Below are 12550 nucleotides of genomic sequence, written 5' to 3'. Positions count from 1 at the left end.
GGCATTGGGAAGTTTAAAGCTTCCCAGCTGATTGTAATGTGCAGTCAAAGTCAATTGAGAGCACCTGGTGCAAGAGCTGCCTCCTCTGGGTCCACTTTGTAGCTGGGCATTTCTTTTAGTAATTTCAGTTGTTCATTATCAGACTGATGTGCGCACTCTGCTTTTAATGGGCTGGCCATTTATTTGTTGAGGATCTGCCATATGCCACTGTGGTGTGAGGCACTTTAAAAAAAAATTTTTTTAAATAGTGGCACGGCACTTTTTGTTTTCTTTAATCAGAAAAATAAGCCCTGCGCTTCTGGGATGGAGGCCCCAGGTGAGTACCGGAGGAAGGGGCTGGGGTGGGTGGGGAGCGAGGGGGCCTAGAGGCCAAAGCAGATGCTGCATCAGAGGCTGGTCAGGACCCGGGAGGGCCTGCGGGGGTGGGGTCCTCGTGAGCAAGTGTGGGGGGCTGGAGGTCAGCAGCTGCCTGGCCTGGGAGCCAGGGACACCCATCCCCTTCCTGACACCTGAGGCGGCCCAGCTGGGCAAGACCAGGCCTGCAGGACCAGGGCCTTCTGTCGCTCGGCGCAGGGGTCCAGGTGGTCAACGCTGCTCTCTGGAGGACCACTGGCTAGAGCCTGCCCAGCTTCCCTGAGGTCTGGAGACAGAGCCCCCCTCAAACACCCCCTCCCTTTTGGGCTAGTGGCGTGCCTCGGACTCCAGAAGACTCGAGTGGGGCTGCCTCGAGACCAGGTCCTGAGGGGGTGGCAACCCCTGACCACAGGTGGGGGCCGTGGAAGGGGCAGGGATGGGCCCAGGGGTAGCCTTGTAGTGTGAGGTGTGCCCGACTGCATGTAGCTCAACAGCCAGACGGGACGCTGCAGGGGACTGTGGGGAAGCCGGGAGAAGGTGCTGCCCACCCTGTGGGGTCCCCCTCGCCTGGAGACCCTGCGGGCAACCCTTCAGTGCATGCCCACAGGGGTGGTGGAGGCAGAGTCCTGAGAGGTGAGGGTGGGAGCCTCCGGGTCCCCTGCAGGTCCTGACCCACCGGATGGGTCCGTGTGCCCCCTGTAGCTTGGGGGCCCTGGAGGTGGACACCAGCACCTCCTGACTACCGGGGGAGGGCCTGGACTGAAACCCACACCTTCACCATTCGCCACTGGGCCATTCTGCAGGAACTGCAGCACCCCACAGATCCTTCATGCCCAGCACGCCACTCACTCTCACACCCTCTCTCGCACGCACACACACACAGCACGCACACACCAGGTTCACGCGCTCCGCACAGGTGGCACGCCGGGGGCAAGCATGCACGTAGACTCAGAGATGCAGGGACAGTATTGGCAATTCAGAGGCACAGAAAGAAGCTGAGGGGCCCCCAGCAAGGTCCCCGCCCTCGGGGGCTGTGTTCCCCAGGGCACGCACACCACAGGCAGCAACGCGGGTGGGGGCACTGTGACGCCAGTCGGGGGAGAGGGAGCATAGCGGGGCGGCAGGCAGATGCGGGTTCATCTCTCCTGTTGTGGTGAGCCTCAGCCTGATCACGGCACTGTAGGGGCTCCCGCCTCTGGCCAAGCCTCAATTTCCAACGACAAACAGCCCAGCCCTGTCTAGACAAGGCCTCAGGCTAGTCTGGCAAAGCATCTCCAGCCCAAAGGGCAAGGCAGCCTTGGCCCTTGAGGCCCTGCCAGGGTGCAGATCACACTGGAGTGGGCTGGAAAACCCATATGGGGTGGTGCCTGCAGGCATCAGAAAAAATTTTTATTTACTTTTATTTTTTAGGGATGGGGCCTCGCTATGTTGCTCAGGCAACAGGTTTCGAACTCCTGGGCTCAAGCAATCCTGCCTCAGCCTCCTGAGTAGCTTGGGACTACAGGTGTGCACCACCCATGGTGGCTAATTTTTTTTTTTTTTTTTTTAAGAGACAGGCTCTCGCTCACTTTGTTGCCCAGGCTGGTCTCCAACTCCTGACTTCAAGCGATCCTCCTGCCTCGGCCTCCCAAAGTGCTGGGATTACAGGTGTGAGCCACCGCACCTGGCCACTGTTAGGCACTTCTATATACCATTTTCAGATTTCACAATTGTGCAAGGCAGATGCTGTTATCTCATTTTACAGATGAGGAAGCATGAGGATCTATTTCAGCAACTTACCCAAGGATGCACAGCTATTATGATCACAGCTAGATTGCAGGCACTGGCCAAAAACTGTCCTTCTCACTACACTGCTTAGCCTCTGCAAAAGTGATTTCAATAAATAAAACTAAATTATGTATATCTCTCTAACCAAGTTAGCCTAAAGTATGCGAGAAATTAGGATTCATGCAAATGGGTGCTTTAAATGTATATATATTTTTTAAGAGACAGCGTTTTTACCTGGGAGCAGTGGCTCAAGCCTGATATCCCAGCACTTTGGGAGGCTGAGGCCGGCAGATCACTTGAGCCCAAGAGTTCAAGACCAGCCTGGACAACATAACCCGGGCATGGTGGCACACACCTGTAGTCCCAGCTACTTGGGAGGCTGAGGTGGGAGGATCGCTTGAGCCCAGGAGGTGGAGGTTGCAGTGAGCTGAGATGGCACCACTCCACTCCAGCCTGGGCGACAGAGCCAGACCCTGCCTCAAAAAATAAAGAGAGGCGGAGTTCTTGCTGTGTTGTTCAGGCTGGACTTAACCCCTGGGCTTAAGCAATCCTTCAAATTCAGCCTCCCAAGTAGTGTGCCACTTTGGCTAAAAAATTTTTATTTTTATTTTTTGGCCAAATAATTTTTTAACTTTAAATATATGCCCCATAAGCTTGCTTGTTTATGGGAGGTTAGCCTAATGTAAGCACTTTTAAAAACCAGATTCCAGGAATAGAGAGCCAGTTAATTTTACTTTTGATTAATGTTCAAGGCCTAGACTGACTTGAGGATGATATAGAATCCTGGAGCTTTAGAGTTTAGGTAAACTTGAAGCTGGCCTTGGCTCTCAGCTGGGAAGTGGGCCTGGAGCAGGAATGAACCTGCCACATGTCATCTGACTCGCAAGACACCCGAGGACAGGACAGGCGCCACTCCTCTCTGGTTGGTCCTGCTGAGTGAAGAGAAGACTGGCTGGATCAACCTTTGAGCTGCCAAAGCTGTGTAAGTTCGTGAAACAGGTGCCCATTCTCTTTATTTTACAATAGGGAGAGAAATACAGGGAGGACATCAATTTGCCCAAGGTCAGGCTGAATGAAACCCAAGTGTCCTGATCAGGAAGCCAGTGTTTCTTCTAGTAGCCAGGGGCAGTGTGATTTGGCGAAAAGATCAGAGCCTTGAAGAGACATAATCCTAGATTCACTTACTGGGGATGTGACCTCAGACAAATTACTTGCCCTGTGTGCCTCTCAGATTCTCCATTGGTGGGACACTCGTGCTAATGGTACCCACCTTGTAAGTGGTTTGGGGGTTGACCAAGCTCACTTATATGAAATGCTTAATTACCCCTTAGTCTGCACTCAGAGACACTTCCCTTACACCAGACGACTTAGGAAATCCCCCCACTGGGAGCTCAGGTTCTGCCGTTAACTTTGTTATCTCAAGACCTGGATCTTGTTTTCTTGATAAGATGCTTGACAACTTTCCTGGGAAATGCCACAGGCAAGAATTAGGAGGCACCTGCAGAATAGCTGTATCTCCTTAGAGAAAAGACAGAAATACTCAAACTGTGTACCTTACTGTCTCATTTCTGAACTTGCCAATTTTACCTCTTGCCATAAATTGATGAAATGGGATGCTGGCAAAATAGCAGGTACAGGCTGTATTATCATTGCTCATTCCTTGGGGAGATCTAGCAGTGACTGCCTGGGAAATATTTAGCAGAATTAATACTTGGGGACAAAGGCTGGTGCATAACAAAACCATTGTGTAAATCAGGCTTAGAATGTAAATCAAGGCCTCCGTTAATATTCTGTGTTTTAATGGAAGAAACACCTGCTGGGCTATCCATAAAGGAGCTTTGCAGAAATCTGTTGAAATTGTCATTTCCTTAACTACTTGAGTGCCAGGTCTCCAGAGTTCCCATGATCCGTTTCCACACCAAGATGCATGAGTGCTTTTTAGAATGGGTTGTTACGCATCCAAGGGCATGTGAGGCTTGTTTTAGAGTTAGGAAAAGGATTTTTAAGTTTCCTTATAACGTGGAAAATGGGAAAATATTTTTATGATGTTATTGCAAACTTAAGTAACACCTGAAAAAAGTCAAGGTATTTTGCTTAATTTAAAATAATGAGGCTGGGCGCACGCCTGTAATCCTAGAGTTTGAGACCAGCCTGGGCCACATGGCAAAACCCCGTGTCTACGAAAAATACAAAAATTAGCTGGGCGTGGTGGCGGGCACATGTAGTACCAGCTGTTTGGGAGGCTGAGGTGGGAGGATGGCTTGAGCCCAGGGCAGAGGTTGCAGTGAGCCAAGATCCTGCTACTGTATTCCAACCTGGGCAACAGAGAGAGACCCTGTCTCAAAAATAAAATTAGAATAAAAGGCTTATAGTGACCCCAGCTACAGACTCTGGAGTCAGACTGTCTGGGCCACTCACTATCTCCGTGACATTTGTGCAAGGTACTTCCTCATAGTCCCTCCACTTCAGCTTTCTTATCTGCAAAATGGGGATAACAGTGCCTGGCCCACAGCAGAGGCTTGGCAAGTGGAGCTGCCTGTATATTAAGTGGTACTTTGCACAGAAGGTAGGTGGGTGGTGCACTATGGCCAGCAGAACGGGGTGGCAACTTTAAGCACCATCCCGGTGCAGGGATTCCCGTCAAGCCAGCAGTGCCCAAGGCTGCTAATGAGCCCCTGTGGTTAAAGCTTAAGTGCCCTTAGCTAATCAAAACTGTGTAGGGCCAGGAGAGTGAAAAGGTGGCACCAGTTCATGGTAACTCAGGATGCCCGTTTTCCAGGGCAGCACTTGCTGCCAAGGCTTGCCAAGAAAAGCTTATAGGGTGATGGGAGCCCCATTGGCAAGGTATTGGGTGCTATGGGGATTCGACGGTGGGCTCTGGCAGGGGTTTCCACAGACTGAATTCTTCTACCCGGGCAGACAGGATGGGGACACTGCATGACACAGTGAGTGCTAAGACTTTACCGTAAGCTTGGACTGAGCAAGGCAAGGGCAGCTGGGTCTACCGCAGACTCCTTAAAGGCAGAGGGCTGGTCTCGTTAATATCGATATCTCCTGAGGGGCTTACTTTCAAGAGCCTGAATTCAAGTTCTGGCTCTACTTTTCATTAGCTAGCTGACTTTGGACAAGTTACTTAACCTCTTCACATCACTTTTCCTGTCAGTAAAATGGGGCTATAAAGCTACCTGCCTTCTAGAGGTGTTGAGAGGATTAAGTGAACCGATCCAAATAAAGCACCAAGAATGTTGCCTGGCATATCCTATGTGCTCAAGAGGTGGCCACTGCTATTACTGAGCCAGGCCAGCACAGGCACTACCCCTGGAATATGCCAGAAGGCCCTCCCACCCCCCAATTCCTTCTTCAACTTCATGACCCAAGTCCATCATATGTGGTGGCTTCCATCCCTGATCTGTTCAGAATTAATCACTCCTTGCTCTATATCATCAGCTAGTAATAATTTGTTGTGCATCTACTATGTGCTGAGCAGGTGCAGTAGTAGCCCCTGGCATTAGAAAGTGCACAGCTCAGGGTCCCTGACTCAGTTTACAGAGTGGGAACCATCAAGTAAACAACAATGCACTGTGGTGCAGGTGCCATGGGGACATGTGGGATAAGCAGACAGAGAGGGCTTCCTGAAGGAGGCAGTTGGGCCTGATTGAAGGCTACGTGTTAAATAGTGAAGGGAGGAACAGTTGGGGGTGGAAGGAGGGGAACAAGTGGAAGGAAGAATGGTCCCAGAAGAGAGAATAGGATGAACAAAGGCCCAAAGCCCAGAGGAGCATGACAAGGTTAGGGAATAGAAAATAACAATGTCATAGATTGAACACGTACTTTGAGGCAAGCTGTGTTCCACATGCTTCATGCGGATTAATGCATTTAATCCACATAACACCTGCATGAGGTAGGTGCTGTTATCCTGCTCATGTTGCAGATGAGGAAACTGAGGCACAGAGAGCCTAAGCAAAGTGCTCAAGGCCTCCTCCAGCTAGTAAGCTTTGAGGCTGGAATTGGGATGCAGGCGCCTGGCTCCACAGCCAATCAATACTCAGCCACTGCACCCTCCTGCCCCATAGCTGAACCATTCAGGATGGCTGGGCTAAGGAGGTCAGAGAGTGGGAGCTGTAGAGGTGGTGAGGGCCCAGATCCTGAACGGCCTTGAATGCCACACCAAGAGCACTGATGAGGGAAGGGAGAGTCACTGGGGGCTCAGAGCAGGGCTGATGACAGACTTGCTTGTTGTGGCTGTATTTCTCTTCACTGGAGCAGTTCCCAGACCATTCGATTTATTGCATCCATTTAACAGCATAACCTTGAAGGCAGAGGCTGTTTGATGCACTTCAGCCTCGATGCTCTGCTCGTGGCAGGTGCCACATAAATGTTCGTAAAGCAAACGGAATAGGGAACACAAGAGGAGGAAGGCGGGCTCTGGAGTGAGGTGAGATGAGATGAGAACCAGTGAGTGAGGTGCTTGGGTTCGGTTCCTGGCTTGGCACTCATTAGTGGGATGACTGTGTGCCTCCATGTCCTTATTTATAAAATTGGACAACAGACCTGAGAAGGTGGCCGTTGGGATTAAATAAGAGAATCCAGGTACAGTGGTTAGCACGGTACCAGAATTCAATGTCAACAGCGTCTTTCCTTGCCTGCCTGCAGTGTATTTCAGGGGGCTTTGTCCCCATGCCCACTTCTTCAGCTGCCACCCCAAATCCATAGAGGTAACCAGACAGAAGTCAGGTGGTCCCACCTCTATCACCGACCCCCTGGCCCTGAGAAGGAAGGGTGGCACTCCACTCCAGGGATGGCGGGTGCAGGAGGCTCTGCCCTGTGGTCAGGTGTGCTGATGTGAGTGCAGGTGCCTTGGCCTGGTTCTCATCGATGAGGCAGGGGAGGTTGGCTCTGCCAGAGTCCCAGGCGTGGGCACGGTGGCGGGGGAGGCCCACATCTCCTGCAGGGAGCATTGGCCTTGCTCCTTGTTCTGCCAGCCCCCGGAGAAAGGGAAGCCCCCAGGGCCCTTCACCTGGCTCACCCTGGCTCCTGGAAACACGCTGCTGCCGCAGCAGGGCCTAGGCTCTGTGCCTGCCGTAAGCAACAGGACCCTCCTGCACTGCGCTCAAGCCAGCCACAGCTGGGGCTCCCGCCCGGCCCAGTTCTAGTCCTTCCCTCTGCGGGCTCAGGGCAGAGGGAAGCCCTGCACTTTCTGTGGGCAGGAACCAGAATGCCAGGTGCAGCTGTACCACCTCAACTCCCCCCCACCCAGGGCTCCCCAGTCTGTGCTGGGTCCAAAGTCCTGGCAACCAGAATAGATGGATAGCAGGGGCCAAAGAAGGCAGAGCCCATGGGCTGGGAGGCCAAGAGTCTCCCTGGAGGAGATGTAAGGTGGTCACGTTGGGCTTGAGCCTGGGAATGCTGTTGCTGATGCTCGTGTGTGCAAGTGGGGGCCTGGGAACAGGGCACTGGCTTATTTTACTCTTTCATTCGTTAGTTCCTTCGTTGGTTCATCCATCCATCCACTCAGCACACTCACACGCATGGAGCTTCCACCATGTGTCAGGCGCTGGGCACTCAAATGAATCCCTATCTGGCCCCTGCCCACTAAGCGCTCACCTGCTGTAAGGGGAGGCAGACACCTGGACATCTGGGTGCCATGCAGTATTACAGGGGCAGGTCAGATGGAGGGTGACGATGGGAGTGTGTGCATGTCCATCAGGGAGGGCCAGCTCTACCAGCAGGCAGGGGAAACGTCCTAGTGAAGGTACCCTTTGGACTTCTCTGAAAATAGGTAGGTTTTTGGCAGGTAGACCAGGCAGGGGAAGGACATTCCAAGTAGAGGGAACTGGAGCAAAGGCATGGACATATGAAGCATCTGGTGTGTTGCAGGCACTGTAATCAGGTTGATGTGGGCAGTTGGGGGGAAAGCCTGGAGAGGCCAAGGTTTGGGCAGAGCCAGGGTATGTGGGTGGACTGCTGTTAGGTGGCAGAGGCAACCCCTCACCCCATTGGCTGAGGATTCAGCTCTAGGGCTCATTCTGGGCCTTTAAAGCAGCAGGAGTACCTATGGAGAGATTGCTGGTGGCAGGTGTCCTTGGACAGGGAGCCTGCAGAACTCATCAAGACCCTGCATCTGGTTTTCCTTGCCATCTTCTGCGGCATGCAGATCTGGGTGATATTTCTTTCAGGCATGTCTCAGGGAAGGGACTTGTCCAGCCCATGACTTTGGCTGGGTTCCTAGGGTTGTTGAGCACTACTTATTGCATGCCAGGCATTAAGTAAAGGTACTGAATATATTGCACCGCCTGGAGGCATTGCAGCACTCCCTAACCCCCCATATTTGGCAGTATTTTTGCCCAGATTTACAGATGATCAAACTGAGGCTCAGGGTGATTAAGTGACATGCACACAGCCTTTATGTAGCAGAGCCAGAGTTCAAACCGGTATCTGTTGGATATCAAGAACCATGCTGTCTCTCATGCAAAGGAATAGAAAGAAAGGAAAAAAAACCACAACCCATGCTGTCTGTGGGCTAGAACACTACTTTTCTGGTGAGGACTTATGCTACATGCTGTTTAAAAGGAATAATAAGCCTTACAGGATCTAGTATATTGTTCCCAGTTTTTAGATAGAAAAACCAAGGCCCAGAGAGGGCAGGGACTTGCTAGGATTAGGCAGTCCCTGGGCGCTGGCCCTGTCAGCAGGTCCTAGGGCTCCTGCCTTCTATCCAGGACACTCTAAAACAGGGAAGGACAGGTCAGTGGCTCACGCCTGTAACCTCAATGCCTTGGGAGGCTGAGGTGGGAGGATCACTTGACGCTAGGAGTTTGAGACCAGCCTGGGCAACAGGCAAGACCCCATCACTACAAAAAAAATTTTTTTTAATTTTTTTAATAAAAATAAAGAGGCAGGACCCTTTTCAGTCTGGCTATGCCTCTGGAATCCAGGATTTCTAGAGATGACTCCTGAGGGCTGAGTCCACTTGTGGAGAGGCCCACCCTTCATGGGGCCTTAGAGCCATGGCAGTTCCTCATCTGGGGTCAAGTCAGGGGAGAAGCATCCTAGGCAAAGAGTTGTCCTATAGAGCAGCGGTCCCCAACCTTTTTGGCACCAGGGATCAATTTGGTGGAAGACCATTTTTCCACAGGATGGGGGAGGAAGGTGGTTTTGGGATGAAACTGTTTCACCTCAGATCATCAGGCATTAGATTCTCATAAGGAGCGTGCAACCTAGATCCCTTGTGTGTGCAGTTCACAACAGGGGTCACACTCCTATGAGAATTTAATGACGCCACTGACCTGATAGGAGGTGGAGCTCAGGTGGTAATGCTTTTCTGCCCACCACTCAACTGCTGTGCGGCCTGGTTCCTAACAGGACATGAACTGCTACCAGTCCACGGCCCAGGGGTTGGGGACCCCTGCAATAGAGTGCCTGATACCCATAACAACCAATGCTTACTAAGCACCTACTGTGTGCCAGGTGCCAGCCATTTAATCCTCAAAACAATCCTGAGAATATATTATTAAATTTCCTTATATATAAGGAAACTGAGGCACAAGGTGGTTATGAAACTTGCCCAGAGTCACACAGCTATTAAGTGGCAGAACTGGGCTTTGAACCCTGGCCCTTGGGTTTGAGAGTTCGTGCTCTTAACTATTATGTTCCAACTGCCTTGGACTATCAGCATCCACAGACCCTGGATGTAGATGGGCCCTGCGGGGAGGGTAAAGAGGGGCCCTGGGCCCACCAGTCACTTCTAGTCACTGATACTGCACGCACCATGTCCCATGGCCTTTGTGGGAAAGCAGCTTACCTTGGCGAATTCTGGGCTCCATCCAGAGCAGGATCTTCCCCTTCTGCTTCCACATCGGCTCTGCCTACACCTTCTACAACCTGGTGTTTTGTCATGTGCCAGCCAAGGGAGCTTGACGAGGAGGCCACTTTGGTATGCAGGCCCTTTGCCCTCCTGGCCCTGCCTGTACTCTGGCTGCCACAGCTTTGGAAAACCCCTCTGGGCATACCACTCCCTGAGCCAAACGCATCCATGGCTGCCCAGGGTGTATGGAACAAACACCTGGGCCCACGATCAAGGAAGGCTGCACCTCCTGCCACTGGCCCATCTCTTCTTTGCTCCAGCATTATCACACTCACTAGTCCTCAGACATGCCAGTGAGGCACCACCACATTCTTGGAGTACCTGTGTGCTCGGCTCTGAGGGGTATTGCGAGTACAGGCACCAGATGCAGGCCTGGTCCTCAAGGAGCTCACAGTCTGGTGGGGCAAAGGGGTAGGAAGTCCTGCGAGTGGACAAAGATGTCGGGAGCCACACCTGGGGAGGGCAGAGGGTCAAGGAAAGGCTTCCATGTCCTTGCCTATGCTGAGCCCTCTGCCAGGAATGCTCAGCTTGGGCCTCTTCATCCCTGAACTCCAGTTTAGGTCACCTCTGGGAAGCCTTTTCTAAGCTCCCCCACACCCCATCAGGATCAGTCACTCCTACCTCTGCTCAGCTAAAGGGGGCTTGGGCCCTCTTTGTGCACCCTCATTTCATATTGGTTGGTTTCCACATCACTCTCCCTGATGGCCTGGGAGCTCCTCAAGGGCAGGGCCCAGGGTGGGAGCTGACCCAGAGCCAGCTTCAGTGAGGCTTGTGACTAAATGACAGAAGCAAGTAGGTCTCCCCAGCCTGGTGTGGCCGGAAATATCCAACAACCTCCACAGCAGTGGGTGGCGAGGCAGTTCTGCCCAAGAGTTAGAGTACCCTTGGTACCCGATGGACTGGAGGTGTCCTTGATTCCAGGGGTCGTAAACAGGACCCTCTGCCCTCCCCAGGTGTGGCTCCCGACATCTTTGTCCACTCGCAGGACCCCTTTGCCCCACAAGACTGTGAGCTCCTTGAGGACCAGGCCTGCATCTGGTGCCTGTACTCCCAATACCCGTAATTCTTAAGAAATTACGCCCTGCAGCCTGCGGCAAAGCCTTTTCACATGCAGTGTCTTGAGTTGCTGCTCCCACTGCCTCCTGATGGAGGACAGACAGGAGCATTTCACTGTAATACTGAGTGCAGCTACTATTATTAACATCATTTGGCAAAAGATTCTGGGGCTCAGAGAGGTTACAAAACTCACCCGAGGTGCCTGTCATGGTGGGAGACCATAGCAGGAGGGTCGTGCCCTAACCTTTTCTCTCCTGTCATGCTTTTGCCGGTCATCTTGTGTGTGTGTGTGTGTGTGTGTGTGTGTGTGTGTGTGTGTGTGTGGCCATGGCCATGTTGAATGCCCAGTGGTTTGGGCAGATAACATTGGACATCATGGGTGACATGCATCTCAATGAATAGAGCTGTGGCCTAGGCCACAACATCGGCCCCTTCTCCAGGAAGTCCTACACTCGTTACCAAGTCTTGCTACCAGGAACTCTGCAGCTAGCTCCCACTACCATCGCCTCTCACCTCTGCAACCTGGGCTGCACCTGCAATGGCCTGAGCCTGTACTACCTGGCCATGCTCCTCTCCACACTCTGGTCCCACGTGGCTTTCTCCCAAGCGAGCCTCTGGCCCTGCTGGGGGAGGGGGCTCCCTTGGCAAGCCTCCTGTGCTGAACAGGTCCCAAATCCACATTCAAGGTTCCTAAACCCAGAATGTAGAACTGCAGGAGGTCTTAGGGCTCTCTCCAACCCTCTCTATAACACACGGCAAGTAGATGCGCATAATGTGACAGAGCTTGCTCCAGGCCACACAGCTGGGCCATGTAAACTGCTTCTGTCTGCTTGAGGTCAGTGAGGAGGCTGACATCCACTTTCCCAATTGACCTAGGGTTCACGGTAGGCCCATTTCTAGCCACAAAGGCTTCTCCCCAGCTGCAGACACACCATGGAGCTTACGTGTCCACAACACAGTGGTGTTCCGGGCCCCATCCCCTCTGGCTTGTCTGCAAGGACTGCCCACTAGGTTTTGGCCATAAGGGGCCAGGCTCTGTTTCCCGTGTCAGGGATGGGGATGAAAAAGGGCTGCAGGAAGAACACAGCAAACGTTCAGGCCTTCATTCCCCTCCATCTGACAGAGGTTCACAGAGAAGCAACGTCATGTGGCCCACATGATGGCTCAGGGCAGGGTCAAGACTCCAGGCTCCCGCGTGGCTAATAGTACTTGAATACAGGATCAGGTCTCAGCAGGGGCAGAGTTCTCTCCTTTTCCCATCCCTATGTGCTAACAATCCCTAAAATTACTTTCTCAGTCTCTCCTAGGTCTAACAGCAGAGAGTGCACAAAGGACCTCATGTCCATCAGCCTCCCGGTCCTCAGGCCCTTAAGTTACCAAAACCAGGCCCCCAAGTGGTCCTCAGGTCCTTAAGTGGCCAAAACCAGGAGTAGGAAGGAGGCTGAACTTCAGCTTCCTAGCCACAAGCCACAGACAGGGACCGGCACCTGGAAGCTGCATGGTTCTTTG

Source organism: Homo sapiens, chromosome 1 (assembly GCF_000001405.40).
Source record: "Homo sapiens chromosome 1, GRCh38.p14 Primary Assembly".
NCBI classification, from domain to species: domain Eukaryota; kingdom Metazoa; phylum Chordata; class Mammalia; order Primates; family Hominidae; genus Homo; species Homo sapiens.
The sequence above is the reverse complement of the archived record's forward strand: the minus strand, read 5'-3'. Positions refer to the sequence as shown.